General features: G+C 39.6%; 1 annotated feature.

Moving 5' to 3' along the window:
- Positions 5,038-5,551: an enhancer, noted in NCBI's record as "H3K27ac-H3K4me1 hESC enhancer chr7:93025621-93026134 (GRCh37/hg19 assembly coordinates)". NCBI's record gives its function as "activates a minimal SCP1, AML or CMV promoter by ChIP-STARR-seq in naive H9 embryonic stem cells {active_cell/tissue: H9 hESC(naive)}" and the evidence as "EXISTENCE:reporter gene assay evidence [ECO:0000049][PMID:30033119]".

The raw sequence follows: 18,572 nt of genomic DNA on the forward strand, positions 1-18,572 counted from the left end.
CTCCTGTTCACCCCCAAATCTCAAGCTTCTCTTTTAACTCATAAGACATTTTAAAGATCCATGATCTAAGCCAGAGAGGCTGGTCTAATTGAACAGCATTGTCAAAAAAAGGGCTAATATTATATCTCCAAAAAATTACATAGTTTTTATTATTAGAATGCTTTTCTCCATATGATACTTTAAAATCAGAGTTGTTTACATTTTCTTATATATTTACATATTTTAACACTTCAAGACTTTAAAAAGTTTGAGCTTAGAATGGACTCACTTGAAATGCTTCTGTAAATTAAACACAATATGAAATAAATACACCCTGAAATGTCATGATGGCTTTGTTCACCTTTGCATTTGGTTGAAGAGACTGAACACAAAAATCTGAAGCAGAGCATTGCTTTTGGAACATAGCTTACTTGGTCCAAATTGCCAGGAGTGCACCAACACGTACAAGACTCTTAATGCAAACCAGGAACAGATGGCCTATCCTGACAGAAAAATTACACACAGAGGCCCCTTCCTCTGCACGGCCTCTTGGAGCTGGAAGTAACTTGTAGGTGTTGGTCCTGGAGGAAAGGAAGATTTTCCATTTTTGAGGGCTGAATGGGTGGTAGGATGCAGCAAATCTTTCACTACTTCTTGAGAAAAAAGTCACATACGCTAGACCCTTAAATATTCTGGTCCAGTACACTTTGAAGTTTCTCACCCAGCATCACATATCATCATCCTGAACATGTCCTTGTTAGTTTCTCTATCCAGTTTTACATGCTCATTTTGGTCCTTTCCACCGCACCCCCCTTCCGAAATAGTTCTTCCACACTTATCATGGTTCTACTACACTTATCATGGTGCTACTTCTTCATGTGGTGTTATCCCCTCCCTGTGTGCTCAGCTTTGCCAGTCTTTCTAAGCTGTCTATTGGCCTTTTCTGTATCTTTCCCTGTGGGTTAGATTTTCAAGGCCATTGGTCATGTCTGCTACTTATCTCTGAACTCCTTCCATTTTGCCTACACTTCTCAGGTAGTGAGCTGCTCACCAGAGTATAACAGAAGGAACACACAGTCTCCCAAGATTATGATGGAATTCTTGGGGTATGCTATTTAGTAATTTTAAAAAATTAATTTCCCATTTAAGATTTGAATATAATTTTATGTCTATGAATAACTTTAGTTGTATTTCTTCTCCCTGGATCTATCTTTCTAGTTCAAGAAGTTATTCGTGAAAGTATTTCTCCAACTGTATTAGCTTTAGTTTTTAGAAAGTGTCCTATTATTTGTATCATTTACTTTTTTTCTTTTTTCTTTTTTTTTTTTTTTTGAGGCAGAGTCTCACTCTGTCACCCAGGCTGGAGTGCAGTCATGCAATCTTGGCTCACTGCAACCTCCGCCTCTTAGGCTTAAGCCATCCTCCCACCTCAGCCTCCTGAGTAGCTGGGAATACAGGTGGGTGCCATCAGGCCTGGCTAATGTTTGTATTTTTAGTAGAGATGGAGTTTTGCCATGTTGCCCAGGCTGGTCTCAAATTCCTGAGCTCAAGTGGTCTGCTTGCCTGGGCCTCCCAAAGTGCTAGGATTACAGGCATGAACCACCGTGCCTGTAAAATTAAAATTTTTTAAAATTATCTTTTAAAGGTAATTTTTGTCCTAATTCAAGATTGATAAATATCATGTTCAATATCCTAAAATGAACAATTTACAATTTTTTGTAAAAACATGTAAAGATGTAAAAATACATCTTTAAAAAGATGTATTTTTCAACCTGAACCTGACCAAAAATTTTGCATAAATGAAAATTAAAAAGTACTTTTTAAAATGCAAAATCTTTCAAGTACCCTATTAGAAATCTGTTTAGAGAATGCCAAACTAAATCTATTTACATAACAAATCCCTACAAATTGCTTTTTAAAAGCAGGATTAAGGTGCATTATAATTAACCTTTTGCTTTAACACAGCATCAAAATAACAAAGTACTTTGCAAATTACGTAGTTTTCTAGTTTGTCAGGGGAAAAATGTTCTCAAGTGTGTCTTATATAAGAATGATTATTCCAGACTATTTGAATTATAGAAGTACATATAATTTTAGAATTTTTAGGAAATGTGAAGTAAGCAATAAAAAGAATCTTCAAATAATATTATTAATTCAAATGTATATATTCATAGCAATTTTTTTTTTAAGAATAAGACATATCACTCTATGTGAGGTAGTAAATACCAAAACAAACAAAATTCACTGGTTTTGTCAAAGAACAAAATAAAACCAATCAAAACAAAACTCTTCTTGTCCATCCAGGCCGCTGAGGAAGGCAGGAAGGCAGGTAAGGTCAGTTCACTGAAAATCAAATGTTTTACCAAAAGCAAAGAACCATTTATTAAAAAAAGTCTTGTGACCACCAAAAGAACTACCATAAACAAGAAGCTGTCATGGCCACGTGTGCCTGTAATCCTAGCACTTTGGGAGGCCAAGGTGGGCAGATAACTAGAGCTGAGGAGTTCAAGGGCACCCTGGGCAACATGGGGAGGATTATGCCATGTTGTGTGTGTGTGTGTGTGTGTGTGTGTGTGTGTGTGTGTGTGTCTCGAGCAGATTCTGGCTGCCCCAGACTCACTAATGCTGCCTCCTGGTTGTATGTTCTCCAGGAGATAGTTTTGGATCCTTCATCTATTATAAAATGCATTTTGTGTGATTTTCTTCCTTTTGCATTATATTGCATGTTATCAATTTAAGGAAATAATCCTTTGGAATTGTTAAAAAAACAAATAGGAAGCTGTGATGTGACAATGAAAAATTGCTGGGTCTTAAAACATTTGTAAATTGTGGATTTTAGGATATTGAACATGATATTTATCAACCTTGAATAAGGACAAAAATTATTCATAGAAGAGAGAATACACTAAACAAATGTTGTCTACTTGTATCTGACAGGAAAGGTTTTCCTCTTTTTAAAAAGATAAATCATAGGTCCAGCCCTGCCAAAGAGCAACACTGAATCATTGCACGTAACTGAAGCATTGACTTGTTTTTCACCTGAAAGTTTTCAGAATATGCTATGTTTATTACCAAATGGTAGAGCAGGTATAATAAAAATAGACACCAACCATCCTCCTAGGAAAGACTTGAGTAGAAAGTAATGTGATTCTCAATGCCTTTCACACAAAAGACACATATGGTAATTAGTTTATTCTCCTCATGTACGGTGTAAATAGCAAAATGTGACTGAGTGGTTATTGTAGGCACTCTTTCCTTAGAAAGAGTTTCATTAGAGTTTGAAAGTATTTCTGGGAAAACATCAAGCAAAATATTCCATGTTGCTAACTGTAATGTATGTAAATGGGGTTTTCCACCTTTTGGTGACTCATCTTGACTTGATCCTTAATCAGAATTAGAAAATTCCTAAATTTATATGTGGAGGAAAGATGCTTTGGGGCTCCCCTCCCCAGTAAACTAATACTTAATGTAATCCCGACTTCAGAATTGTTATCAACCAGGGGTCTTAGTTGGTCCTGAAAGATCTAACTTGTGTTGTAATAGGACTGGGACTATGAGGAATAAGATGTAGGATCCAGAAAAGGAAGATTTTCTGGACTGACATAAATATCTAAAATACCTGAATGTTGTACTTCAAAAGTAACTTGAAGCAATTTTTAGTGAAACATACCGACATATTTAAAAAATAAATCAGACATATATGAGGAGGGAAAAAACTCTACCAGGTTTCATTTCCCAGAGAATTACTGATATAATACAAAAGCATTTGTCTAATCTTCCTGGCAGCTGAAGAGGAAAGGCAAATAGGGCATGTTATTTCCACACCCCGACCTCGTATTTCTGCGCCCCGACCCCTTCTCTGCTTTTCTGGAGGGCAAGAACCCCCCACCCCTTCTCCATGTCTCTACTCTTTTCTCTGGGCTTGCCTCCTTCACTATGGGCAAGCTTCCACCTTCCATTCCTCCTTCTTCTCCCTTAGCCTGTGTTCTTAAGAACTTAAAACCTCTTCAACTCTCACCTGACCTAAAATCTAAGCGTCTTATTTTCTTCTGCAATGCCCCTTGACCCCAGTACAAACTCGACAGTAGTTCTAAATAGCCAGAAAACAGCACTTTCAATTTTTCCATCCTACAAGATCTAAATAATTCTTGTCGTAAAATGGGCAAATGGTCTGAGGTGCCTGACGTCCAGGCATTCTTTTACACATTGGTCTCTCCCTAGTCTCTGTGCCCAGTGGGACTCGTCCCAAATCTTCCTTCTTTCCCTCCCGCCTGTCCCCTCAGTCCTAACCCCAAGCGTCGCTGAGTCTTTCTAATCTTCCTTTTCTACAGACCCACCTGACCTCTCCCCTCCTCCCCAGGCTGCTCCTCGCCAGGCCGAGCTAGGTTCCAATTCTTCCTCAGCCTGTCTCCACCCTATAATCTTTTTATCACCTCCCCTCCTCACACCTGGTCCGGCTTACAGTTTCGTTCCGTGACTAGCCCTCCCCTACCTGCCCAGCAATTTACTCTTAAAAAGGTGGCTGGAGCTAAAGGCATAGTCAAGGTTAATGCTCCTTTTTCTTTATCCCAAATCAGAAGCGTTTAGGCTCTTTTTCATCAAATATAAAAATCCAGCCCAGTTCATGACTCGTTTGGCAGCAACCCTGAGACACTTTACAGCCCTAGACCCTAAAAGGTCAAAAGGCCGTCTTATTCTTAAAATACATTTTATTATCCAATCTGCTCCTGACATTAAATGAAACTCCAAAAATTAAATTCTGGCCCTCAAACCCCACAACAGGATTTAATTAACCTCACCTTCAAGGTTACAATAATAGAAAAAAGTTGCAATTTCTTGCCTCCACTATGAGACAAACCCCAGCCACATCTCCAGCACATAAGAACTTCCAAACGCCTGAACCGCAGTGGCCAGGCATTCCTCCAGAACCTCCTCCCCCAGGAGCTTGCTGCAAGTGCCAGAAATCTGACCACTGGGCCAAGGAATGCCCGCAGCCCAGGATTCCTCCTAAGCCGTGACCCATCTGTGTGGGACCCCACTGAAAATTGGACTGTTCAACTCACCTGGCAGCCACTTCTAGAGCCCCTGGAACTCCGGCCCAAGGCTCTCTGACTGACTCCTTCCCAGATCGTCTTGGCTTAGCGGCTGAAGACTGACGCTGCCCAATCGCCTCAGAAGCCCCCTAGACCATCACGGACGCCGAGCTTTGGGTAACTCTCACAGTGGAGGGTAAGTCTGTCCCCGTCTTAATCAATACCGAGGCTACTCACTCCACATTACCTTATTTTAAACGGCCTGTTTCCCTTGCCTCCATAACTGCTGTGGGTATTGACGGCCAGGCTTCTAAACCTCTTAAAACTCCCCAACTCCGGTGCTAACTTAGACAATACTCTTTTAAGCACTCCTTTTTAGTTATCCCCACCTGCCCAGTTCCCTTATTAGGCTGAGACACTTTAACTAAATTATCTGCTTCCCTGACTATTCCTGGATTACAGCTGCATCTCATTGCTGCCCTTCTTCCCAATCCAAAGCCTCCTTTGCGTCCTCCTCTTGTATTCCCCCACCTTAACCCACAAGTATAAAATACCTCTACTCCCTCCTTGGCGATCGATCATGCACCCCTTACCATCTCATTAAAACCTAATCACCTTTACCCCACTCAATGCCAATATCCCATCCCACAGCATGCTTTGAAAGGATGAAAGCCTGTTATCACTCGCCTGCTATAGCATGGCCTTCTAAAACCTATAAACTCCCTTTACGATGTCCCCATTTCACCTGTTCTAAAACCAGACAAGGCTTACAGGTTAGTTCAACATCTGCGCCTTAGCAACCAAATTGTTTTGCCTATCCACCCTGTGGTGCCAAACCCATATACTCTCCTATCCTCAATAACTCCCTCCACAATCCATTATTCTGTTCTAGATCTCAAACATGCTTTTTTTACTATTCCTTTGCACCCTTCATCCCAGCCTCTCTCTGCTTTCACTTGGACTGACCCTGACACCCATCAGGCTCAGCAAATTACCTGGGCTGTACTGCTGCAAGTCTTCACAGACAGCCCCCATTACTTCAGTCAAGCCCAAATTTCTTCCTTATCTGTTACCTATCTCGGCATAATTCTCATAAAAACACATGTGCTCTCCCTGCTGATTGTGTCCGATTAATCTCCCAAACCTCAATCCCTTACAAAACAACAACTCCTTTCCTTCCTAGGCATGGTTAGTGTGGTCAGAATTCTTACACAAGAGGCAGGACTGCACCCTGTAGCCTTTCTGTCCAAACAACTTGACCTTACTGTTTTAGCCTAGCCATCATGTCTCCGTGCAGTGGCTGCTGCCGCTCTAATACTTTTAGAGGCCCTCAAAATCACAAACTATGCTCAATTCACTCTCCACATTTCTCATAACTTCCAAAATCTATTTTCTTTCTCATACCTGATGCATATGCTTTCTGCTCCCCGGCTCCTTCAGCTGTACTCACTCTTTGTTAAGTCCCACAATTACCGTTGTTCCTGGCCCATACTTCAATCCGGCCTCCCACATTATTCCTGATACCACACCTGACCTCCATGACTGTATATCTCTGATCCACCTGACATTCACCCCATTTCCCCATATTTCCTTCTTTCCTGTTCCTCACCCTGATCACGCTTGATTTATTGATGGCAGTTCCACCAGGCCTAATTGCCACACACCAGCAAAGGCAGGCTATGCCAGGCACAAGCCACTAGCCCACCTCTTAGAACCTCTCATTTTCTTTCCATCGTGGAAATCTATCCTCAAGGAAATAACTTCTCAGTGTTCCATCTGCTATTCTACTACTCCTCAGGGATTATTCAGGCCCTCTCCCTTCCCTACACTTCAAGCTCGAGGATTTGCCCCCACCCAGGACTGGCAAATAAGCTTTACTCAACATGCCCTGAGTCAGATAACTAAAATACCTCTTAGTCTAGGTAGACACTTTCACTGGATAGGTACAGGCCTTTCCTACAGGGTCTGAGAAGGCCACCGCAGTCATTTCTTCCCTTCTGTCAGGCATAATTCCTCAGTTTAGCCTTCCCACCTCTATACAGTCTGATAGCAGACCAGCCTTTATTAGTCAAATCAGCCAAGCAGTTTTTCAGGCTCTTAGTATTCAGTGAAACCTTTATATCCCTTACGGTCCTCCGTCTTCAAGAAAAGTAGAACGGACTAAAGGTCTTTTAAAAACACACCTCACCAAGCTCAGCCACCAACTTAAAAAGGACTGGACAATACTTACCACTTTCACTTCTCAGAATTCAGGTCTGTCCTCGGAATGCTACAAGGTACAGCCCATTTGAGCTCCTTTTAATTAGGCCCCAGTCTCATTCCAGACATCAGACCAACTTGGACTGTGCCCCAGAAAACTTGTCATCCCTACTATCTTCTGTCTAGTCATACTCCTATTCACCATTCTCAACTACTCATACATGCCCTGCTCTTGTTTACACTGACAGTTTACACTGTTTCTCCAAGCCAGCACAGCTGATATCTCCTGGTGCTATCCCCAAACTGCCACTCTTAACTCTTGAAGTAAATAAATAATCTTTGTTGGCAGGACTATGCTGAATCTCCTTAGGCACTCTCTAATCAGATGTCCTGAGTTGTCCCAATTCTTAGACCTTTTATACCTGTTTTTCTCCTTCTCTTATTCCATTTAGTTTTTCAATTCATACAAAATTGTATCCAGGCCATCACCAATAATTCTAAATGACAAATGTTTCTTCTAACAACCCCACAATATCACCCCTTACCACAAAATCTTCCTTCAGCTTAATCTCTCCCACTCTAGGTTCCCACGCCGCCCCAATCCCGCTAAAAGCAGCCCTGAGAAACATCGCCCATTATCTCTCCATAGCACCCCCAAAAAATTTTTCACCATCCCAACACTTTACCACTATTTCATTTTATTTTTCTTATTAATATAAGAAGACAGGAATGTCAGGCCTCTGAGCCCAAGCTAAGCCATCATATCCCCTGTGACCTGCACGTACACATCCAGATGGCCGGTTCCTGCCTTAACTGATGACATTCCACCACAAAAAGAAGTGAAAATGGCCTGTTTCTGCCTTAACTGATGACATTGTCTTGTGAAATTCCTTCTCCTGGCTCATCCTGGCTCAAAAGCTCCCCCACTGAGTACCTTGTGACCCCCACTCCTGCCCGCCAGAGAACAACCCCCCTTTGACTGTAATTTTCCTATACCTACCCAAATCCTATAAAATGGCCCCACCCCTATCTCCCCTTGCTGACTCTCTTTTCGGACTCAGCCCGCCTGCACCCAGGTGAAATAAACAGCCATGTTGCTGACAAAAAGCCTGTTTGGTGGTCTCTTCACACGGACGCGAGTGAAAGTAAGAATTCTTTATTAAAATACAGTCATCACAGGACATCCATATGTCTCTGTCTCAGTCTGCCTGTCTGTCTGTCTGTCTAATCTATTTATCTTATTTGTCTATCTTTCTATGAATCTAATCTATCTATTCTATCATCTATCATCTCTCTATCATCTATCATCTATCCACGTGTTTATCCTATCTATCTCTATCTATCTATCTATCTATCTATCTATCTATCTATCTATCTATTATCTCTCTCTCTCTCTCTCCTATATCTGCTTTCAGAGGTATTGTGGGTATATTTATAGGGACTAAAATAGAAAAGACCCATATAGTATACTGTGATGCAAATCAAGTTATTCTCAGCATATAGTGTTCGGTTTGCCCTGCCTTCTTTTGGGAATTGTATCTCTCGTCTTCTGGGAACCATTCTTTCCACCACTGCAGCCATAACAGAGCTCTCATGGTTTTATCCAAAGTTGTCATTTCCCGGCTACAAAAATTAGTCCAAGGATGTCACTACTTCAGGCTGAGCCAGTCATAACCCTTCCCCAGGATTTTAAAAACTGAGCCCAGAGAGCACAAGCTCAGTACCCTTTCATGGGTGAAGCTGAGACTAGAGATATTAGGAGCTGTAGATACCTATGTTTCCAGCATGGCAGAGTCCAGACTGAGAGAATGAGCCTGGCACACAGGACTAGCACAGACTTGAAGAGAGAGACAGTCCTGGCAGTGTCTGAGTTCTTGAAGCCCAGCCTGCTCTTGTGCCTTCCCAATGGTTTGATTTTGTGAACCAAAAATTTCTTTTCATTGTTTAAGTTACAGTTGGTGGTGTCGTTGCATGTGGTCAAAGGGTCCTGACTACTTTTGATAGGTATTTGTAGGTTTTACTAGCCCATCATCTTTTTCTTCTGTTTCTAGTGACAGCACTTTGATTTTCTTTTTGTGAAGCACCTCTCTTCATTCTGGTAAATTGGATCACACAGACTCTCATATACCCACTTCTGGCTGCAAGCATGGACGTATAATCCAGACATGGCTAATAAGACTTATTCTCAATTTTAATTGGAGCTAGGGGAAAAGAGAAGCTAGAAATGTCTGGGATTATTAATTATTATTAATCAAAGAAGCTTAAGAAATAGATCCATGGCTCAGTGTAAGCTACTTTGCCTCAAGAATACATATGTGTCAAGTTTTGATATACAAAACTTTACAACTAAACTCTCTGTTCAACAAAAGGTAAGAAGAAAGGAAAAGTGATTTCTTACCTAATGAGAACCTTAAATTCACAGTTAAACTTCACAGTTTGCAAAGGAACTTGGTGAGGCTGTCAGTGTCAGGGCTGTTGCCATTAGTATCCCTTGTTGTCATCTGCAAAAAACAACATGTAGAGAGGCCAGTGATTCATCTAAGGCCAGAAACCCTGGTCTTGGACCCATGCTCTGTCTGACCCCAGAGGTCCTTCCACAACCACACTCAGCATTCCTCCAACAGGCTCTGAGGGGCTGCCCCAGTGCCCTGGGAAGACTGTGCTCTTTTTCTGAGATTTGTCATTATCTTAATGAAGAGATTCTCATAAATCATGATTCTTTCTGATGCTAAAAGTCCTCTGCCAAGCAAACACAAGTGCTTGCAACAGTGAAATCTTCAAAGTGTTGGTTCTTACAAAGACCACGAAAAAGGGTTCTCTTTCAGCTTAAACCTCCCTATACTATCTATTAAAATATAGTGAGGATTACAGAATCACATTTCAACATATAAAGTCACCTAGAAAAGTGTTTTCCCAAGACTGTTCTCCCAAGATATTCCCTGAACAAAATATATCCATTGTTTTATTAGTTTTCTACGGCAGCTGTGTAACAAATTACCACAAACTGGGTAACTTAAAACAACAGAAATTTATTCTTTCACAGCTCTGGGGGCCAGAAGTCTGAAATCAAGGTATTGGCAGTGTTGGCTCTTTCTGAGGGCTCTAAGTGACAATCTGTTTCATGCCTGTCCTCTTCTATCTACCAGTGACAGCCAGCAATCTTTGACATTCCTTGGCTTTGAGGTACATCATTCCAATCTCTGCCTCCTTCTTCCCATGGCTGTCCTCTCTGTGTGTGTCTCTTTCTTCTTATAAGGACACCAGTCATATTGGATTAAGAACCTGTCCTACTCCATATGACCTTATCTTAACAAATTACTTCTACAGTGACACCATTTCCAAGTAAGATTACATTCTGAGGTACTGGGAGTTAGGCTTCAACACATATTTTTTTAGGGGGAAACAATTCAACCCATACACTGGTCAAATATGGTTGAGAAATATTGCACACTATACAATCCTCTTTGCAAATGTGTATTAGCATATTAAAGGTTTTGAAGCCAATGAATCTGTTTGATTTTCTTTTAACCTAGCATTTCCAAAATGTGTGCAACCACACATTATTTTATTCACTTAATATCAATTAACATCCTGAGACTCAATGTTCTGAGAGGCACACCATTTGAAATGTTCATCAGGATGACCTTCAGCATATCAGAGACACTCCCCCACTTCCTAGTTGTTAATGAGAACCTCTGTGGCTGGCATGCTCAGTAGTTGGTCAGTAATGACAATATGGTTGGAAACACAGCAAAACTCTTTCCATGATGCTATAAAACCAGCATCTGTGCAGCTTCTTATAATTGACTCACTTGGCAATATGGCAAATTCATCCCAAAAAAGATGTGGGTGAGAACTTGTACTTAGGTAAATGTAAAGCCTTAAAGCCTTATCCATTGCTGGGAAAAGATAACTGGAAGAACATATCCTGTGGCTATTAGGTAAGAAGCACTATGAAACTTTTTTTCTAGTTAGAAAAGTGTGTGTGTGTGTGTCTGTGTGTGTGAGTGTGTGTGTGTATTCATCGAGGGCTGTGGTGGAGGCAGAGTGTGGGACTGAACAGTGGAGGACTATGCATTCAAACTAGGGAAACTTATTGTATTAGGATTCCCCAGAAAAACTAAACCAATAGGAGATGTGTGTGTGTGTGTGTGTGTGTGTGTGTGCGCGCGCGCGCGCACGCACGTGCACGTGCGCATGCTCGTGTGTGATTTAGATCTTTAAACTGATTAGATGAGGCCCACCCACATTAGGGATGGCAATCTACATTCCTCAGTCTACTGATTTCAATGCTAGTCTCATCCAAAAATAACCTCACAGACACATCTAGATGGAGGACTATCTCCATTTACTGACCACAGCATGACTGTGTGAAGATCTGTCTCAAGCACTTTCACACACATTGTCTTACGTTGACCTCATGTCAACCCTTAGATGTAATTTCCATTTTACAGATGAAAGAACTATGGTTAGGAGCATTTATAAAAGTAAAATTCCGTCACAAATCGAGCAGTGAAGTCAAGTTAAACTCAGGCTGGAGATCCACTGTAGCATTCTACCATCTTTCCTTGAGAGGCAAGATAGAGCAACGTGGTGAACCTCAAATCTGAGACTACCTTCTATAAGGCTTATTCTGCTAAAGGAAGCTTATTCTGCTGAGGAATTGTTGCCTTGCTTTCCTGATGGTTTCATCATTCAGGAAGTAGTGGAATGAACAAGGGACAGTGAACATTTTTAAGAGGTATTTGTTCTACTGCAGTTGATATGAATATTGCCTGCCACCCCCGGAGTTGTGCAGTATACGGCATGCAGCCCTGGGATCAGCTACTTTATTTTTTTTAATTTTTAATATAACTTATATTTTAGGTTCAGAAGTACACGTGCAGACTTGTTATATAGGTAAACACGTGTCACAGGGGTTTGAGATACAGATTATTTAGTCTCCCAGGTACTAAGCCTAATACCTAACAGTTATTTTTCCTATTCCTCTCCCTCTTCCCACCTTCCACCCTCTGGCAGGCCCCAGTGTCTGTTGGAACAGCTACTTTAAACATCATTCTTCAAATAGTAAACTAACAAATAAGGTAAAGATGATGAGAACCTTGGTAGAATAGAATCAGATTCTTAGGATTCATAGTAGCATGGTCAAAAATGGTCCCTAGACCATAATAATAACTTAATATTTACCCAGTAATGGGATTGCTGGATAATATGGTAGTTCTATTTTTAATTTTTTGAGAAAACTCCATACTGTTCTCCACAGTGGTTGTACTAATTTACATGCCATCAACAGTGTATAAGGATTTCCATTTCTCCACCTCCATGCCAGCATTTGTTACTTTTGGTCGTTTTGATAATAGCCATTGTAATTGGGGTGAGATAATTGGGGTGAGATGGTATCTCATTGTGGCTTTGATTTGCATTTCTGTGATGATTAGCGATATTGAGCATGTTTTTTCATATGATTGTTGGCTACTTGTAAGACTTTTGAGAAATTCCTATTCAGGTCTTTTGTCCATTTTAAAATCAGATTGTTTTTTGCTATTGTTTGAGGTCCTTACATCATTTGTATATTAACTCTGTGTCAGATGCATGGCTTGCAAATATTTTCTCCCACTCAGTAGTTTGTGTCTTCACTCTGTTGATTGTTTCCTTTGCTGTGCAGAAGCTTTTAATTTTGATGTAATCTCATTTGTTGATTTTTTATTTCGTTGCCTGTGCAAGAAAAAATCCTTCTCCAGACCATGAAGCATTTATGCTATCTTTCAGGTCATACATTCAAGTCTTAATCCATTTTGAGTTTTTTTTTTATAAGGTGAAAGATACTGTTCTAGTTTCATTCTTCTGTGTATGAATACTCAGTCTTCCCAGCACAACTTATTGAAAATACTCTTTCCCCAGTGTATGTTCTTGGTGTCTTTGTTGGAAATCAGTTGGCTCCGTGTGGGTTTATTTCTGTATTCTCTATTATGTTCCATTGGTCTGTATGTCTGTTTTTATGCCACTACCATGCTGTTTAGGTTATATAGCTTTGTTGTATATTTTGAAGTCAGGTAGTGATGCCTTCAGGTTTGTTCTTTTTGCCTAAGGTTACTTTAGCTATTCGGGGTCTTTTGTGGTTCCATAAGAATTTTAGGATTGTGTTTTCTATTTCTGTGAAGAATGCCATTGGTATTTTGATAGTGTTTCTATCAAATCTGTAGCTTGCTTTGGGTAGTATGGAAATTTTAACAATATTAATTCTTCTAATCCATGAATGTAGAATATATTTCCATTTCTTTGTGTCTTCTTCAATTTTGTTCATCAATGTTTTATAATTTTAATTGTAGTGTTCTTTCACCTCCTTGATTACATTTCTTCATAGGTGTTTTATTATTTTTATACCTATCGTAAACAGAATTGCTTGTCTGATTTTTTTCCCGGATAGTTTGTTATTGGCATATAGAAACACTACTGAATTGTGTGAGCTGATTTTGTATTCTGCAACTTTACTGAATTTGTTTATTAGTTCTAACAGTTTTTTTTTTGTATGAGTGGAGTCTTTAGGGTTTTCTGTATATAAGATCATGTAATCTGCAAAGAGGAGCAATTTGACTTCCTCCTCACCAATTTAGATTCCCTTTCTTTCTTTAAACTAGTTGCTCTGGCTAGGACTTTCAATACTATGTTAAATAAAAATGGTGAAAGTGGGCATCCTTATCTTCTTCCAGATATTAGAGGAAAAGCTTTCAACTTTTCCCATTTCACTATGATGTTAGCTGTGAGTTTGTTATATATGGCCTTTATTGTGTTGAAGTGTGCTTCTTTTATGCCCCATTTGTTGAGTTTTTAATCATGAAGGGATGTTTTCTCAAATGATTTTTCTGTGCTTATAGAAATGATCATATGGGTTTTGTCTTGTTTACTTTTGTGGTTTTGTGGATTTTTATAGTGCTAAGCTTTGATTCCTTTCTCTTTCTCATTTGTGACTCTGCTGCATTTTTTTCATGATTGCCCTGAGGCTTACATTAATAAATATTATAGTTATAGATGACTATTTTAATCTAATAACAACTTAATTTTGGTAGCATATAAATATTCTAGACTTTTACCCTCCCAGCCACACTGGTAATTTTTTTTTGCTTTAATTTACATATTTTTATATTGTGTAATCCTTAACAACTAATTTTAGGTATGGTTATTGTAGACCATTTTGACTTTCACCTTCATACTAGAGATTTAAAGATTATATCTCATCATTAAAGTAATAGAGTATTCTGAATTTGATTATGCGTTTACCTCTACCAGTGAGTTTTACACTTTTGTGTGATTTCATGGTAGAAATTAACATCTTTTTGTTTCTAACTGAAGCACTCCCTTAAGCATTTCTTGTAGGGCTAGCATAGAGGTGATGAATTCTCTCAGCTTTGGCGTGTCTGGGAAAGACTTTTTTCCTCCTTCATTTCAAAATGATAGCTTTACTGGGTATAGTATTCTAGGATGGAAGTTTCTTTTTCTCCTTCAGCACTTTTAATGTATTATTCCATTCATTCTTTCTTGGCCTGCAAGGTTTCTGCTGAGAAATCTGCTAATAATCCAATGGGAATTCCCTTATATGTGAGTTGACACTTTCTTTTGATGCTTTGAAAACTCTCGTTGTGTTTGATTCTGACAGTTGATTATAATATGCCTTAGAGGGGACCTATTTGGGTTGAATATAATTGGGATCCTTTGGGCTTCATAGATCTGGATATCCGTATTTCTCTAAAGACATGGGACATTTCCAGCTATTATTTTGTTAAATAAACTTTCTGTGCCTTTCTCTATCTGTTTTCTTCATGAAAATCCCATGATGTAAATTTTTGTTTGCTTAATGGTTTCTCGTAAGTCTTGCAGGATTCTTTTTGTTATTTTTCATTCTTTTTTCTTATTTCAAAACTGACTTATTTCAAAAACCCTGTTGTAAGTTAAAAAATTCTTTCTTCTGCTTGATCTAGTCTGCTGTTGAAGTTACCAACTGTATTTTTAATTTTTTATTGAAGTCTTCAGTCCCAAGATTTGTTTTTTAAATTGATATTTATCTCTGTTAAATGTCTCATTCAGATAATAAATTGTTTTTCTGATTTGTTGAATTGTCTATCTGTGTCCTCTTGTATCTTGCTGAGTTTCCTTAAGTTCATTATTTTTAATTTATAAACTACGATTTCTTTGGGGTCAGTTACTAGAGAATTACTGTGTTTCTTTGATAAAATCATGTCTCATTGATTTTTCATGTTTCTTGTATCCCTGCATTGATAATATCTGTGTGTCTGGTGGAACAATCACCTCTTCCAATTTTATAGGGTAGCTATCATAGAAAAAAATTTTTGCTTGTTGTCTTGTCCTAGGGTGTTGGTTGGGTAAGGTGCATTGTCTTTGGTTCCTGGTGTGTGTAGTGTAACACCTGTGCAGTTTCTTCAGCAGTATTAAATGTCAGTGATGCCTGTGAGTGCCTCAGTGGCCTAGGCTGGAGGAGTTTGTGCAGCTGCTCTGCTGAGTCAAGCCTGGCTCTCCCACTGGGGTTAGGGGTGCTGGCTGTTCTCTGTGATAAGTGTGCAGGGGATGCTCTGCTTGGTCAGGTGTTGTCTCCCAACTGGGGACAGGAGTGCCAGGCTATTCCTCATGCCAAGGGTACATGGGAGCTGTTTTGCTGGATTGGACACAAGTCTCCATACTGGGGAGAACTGCTTGTTTTCTAGGGGACAGGACATTACATGAGCTTAGGTGCCAGAATTATGACTGTTCAGCTGGACTTAGGCTCTGAGTAGCTGGGTTTGGGGTACTGCAGCCATTAGGATGGGGAAGATGGAGTGCCTCCTAGGTAGTTTATTCCCAGTGTGTATGAAGCTGTAACTACTCCACTGGGGAATAGTGTTACCATGTATATCTACCATGTGGTGGCAACAGAGCCTCAGAGATGGAAAGATGCACTACCTACTGGCCCCTAGAGCAAAATCTGCTTTGGAAGTGGCTCTGGTTTCACAATGGGGCTTGAATCATGTGAGAGAGGAGAAGGGGAACAACATGAACGTCTTTTTTGGAGTAATGCATCCACGTGAACTCCAGACGGCTTACTAGACTGGTCTCAGGGCCTACGAGGACTACAGGGTTTTCGAGCAGTGAAGATTGTAGGTGTCTGCAGCTTTAATGGGGACAGTTGGAGGTCCCCTGCTTACCCTTTTCTCACAGGGAGAGTATCTCCTGGTCCCAAGCTGATCCCAACTGGGAAGACAGAGTGGCAAAGGCAGAGTGGGCTTTTTTTCCCCCTTTTAATGTGGGCATCCTGAATCTCTGCTCCCCAGAGTGTCTGCCACTCGCCTGCTGTACTCTAACCCTCTCCTTCAGATACTCTAGTCAAAACGTGGTTGTTTATTAATTGTTTTGGGTCCATTTTGTGTAAGGGGATGAATGTTAGGCACCTTTAGTAGGCCACATTGTTGACATCACTCCAGAATATTCTGTATCCCTTATAAGACTAATGTGATATAAAGTTTGATTCATGAGCACTCAAAAATCCACAAACATTATGAATTAATAAATCAATCAGAATTTCATCATAAAAGTTTCCATTGATAAGAATAATAATTTTTTCTTCAGTAAATGAGGTATGGCATGGGCTTACCTCACCCGGGGTCTGTTCCAGAAGTCTAAGAATTTGAATACTTTGTTTAGTCTTTTATTTCTTCACATTCATTTTGGGAAAAATTCCCTGAACTATAATTTTTAAAAAGTGAGAGGTGGGCTTGTCTTTTTAGACTATAGTCCTGGTTTAGATTTCCTCGATTTAGATGATTTTAAAAACCTTAACTGGAAAAATGTAAAGCTGTTCTCTCCTAGTTGAGTGTCTCTTATCACATAATGGTTATGTGACGTTGAGCAGGTTAGCTGGCTGAGCCTTAGTTTTGTGATCCATAAAATGAGAATATTACCTTTGTGGATACGATGTTTCAGGCAATTAAATGAGATGATGTAAGTAAAGTGCTTAGCATAGCATATAACCAAAGTGAAACCTCATTTATTCTCATTGAAGAAACTCTCCTGATTTGTCAGGTGAAGCCATGTTGTTTCTTCCCTTTTTAAAACATACTAGTGGGTGCCCAGGGCATGCTGAATGCTCATGATTAGAAGTTGCTCAAGATGGTGTGGTCAAGGACCAACAGCAGTTGGCATCACCTCCACGATCATCTGGTGATAGTAACCCAAACTCAGACCTGCTAAATAGGAGTCTGCATTTTAACAATCTCCAGGTGATTCATAATCACTAAAGTTTAAGTGATTCATAATCACTATTACAAGTATACCTGCATAACAAGTACTTGTTCTCAAGTCATTTGATACTAGTTACTCTTGCTTTTGTAATTACATAATTTAACTAAATATCACATGAAGCTAATAAGAGTGTGAAAAGAGAGTTGTGTTTTTCTGAGAAAATTAAGTTAAATTCTTTGGAACAACAATGATGAGTGAGTTACAAAAATTGTTGTTGAATTAAGGATGAGTGAGACAACTTTAAAGATTGGAAAATGCTAAAAATATATATGAATATTACTCTTTAAGTTCTTCTCTTGCATGTTTTGCTTCTGGACTTTAACTTAAAGAAATTTAATAACATTTAGTCATTGGCTGGTGCCACCTTGAGAAGAGTGTACACTCAGCTTAAAAAATGGGTACTGAGTAGCCAGTACTTTCTGAGAGGGGTAAGAAAATGACACTCTCCATGTCTGTCAAAACCCCAGTCTGTGTTCTTTTAAATATGTAAACCTGGGGATACAAGCTTGGTATAAATAAACAAGCCTAGGAGACCAATGTCTCACTGACTTTGTTGGATGAAAACCGCTGCCAGTGCAAAGACTTTGAACATCCTGGGTGCAAAAATGATTTATAAATTTTAATGATGGTGCTTGGAACTTGGCAAACAATCAATTATGCACAGCAATCTCTATAAATATAGTCATCAACAGTCATCCCCAGAGCTGTGAATTAGTTCCTATTTTCAAATTATTGTGAATTTGCTAACTAATCAAAATTCTGAACACAAACGGGCTTATTGCAGATACATGATGCATACTAAGCCACCAGGGAAGTATCTGAGTGGGCTTAGTAATATGTCTTCCACCACTTGTATTAAATTTTACAAACTAAAAACAGCCAATAAAGAGAAATGTTTTTCTGAAGCATCTATGTATATCTCAAGCTTTGGCACGTAAAGACAAGCTGACTTGGCAAAAGAAGTGAGATTTAGAGTCTGAAAGCCTGTGTTTGAGGCTGGCCTCTGTCATTTAGTTCCTGACTTAATGTCATTAGGAAATTGGTAATGACCATATTATCTGCTGGAAGCTTGGG

This window comes from Homo sapiens, chromosome 7, assembly GCF_000001405.40.
Source record: "Homo sapiens chromosome 7, GRCh38.p14 Primary Assembly".
NCBI classification, from domain to species: domain Eukaryota; kingdom Metazoa; phylum Chordata; class Mammalia; order Primates; family Hominidae; genus Homo; species Homo sapiens.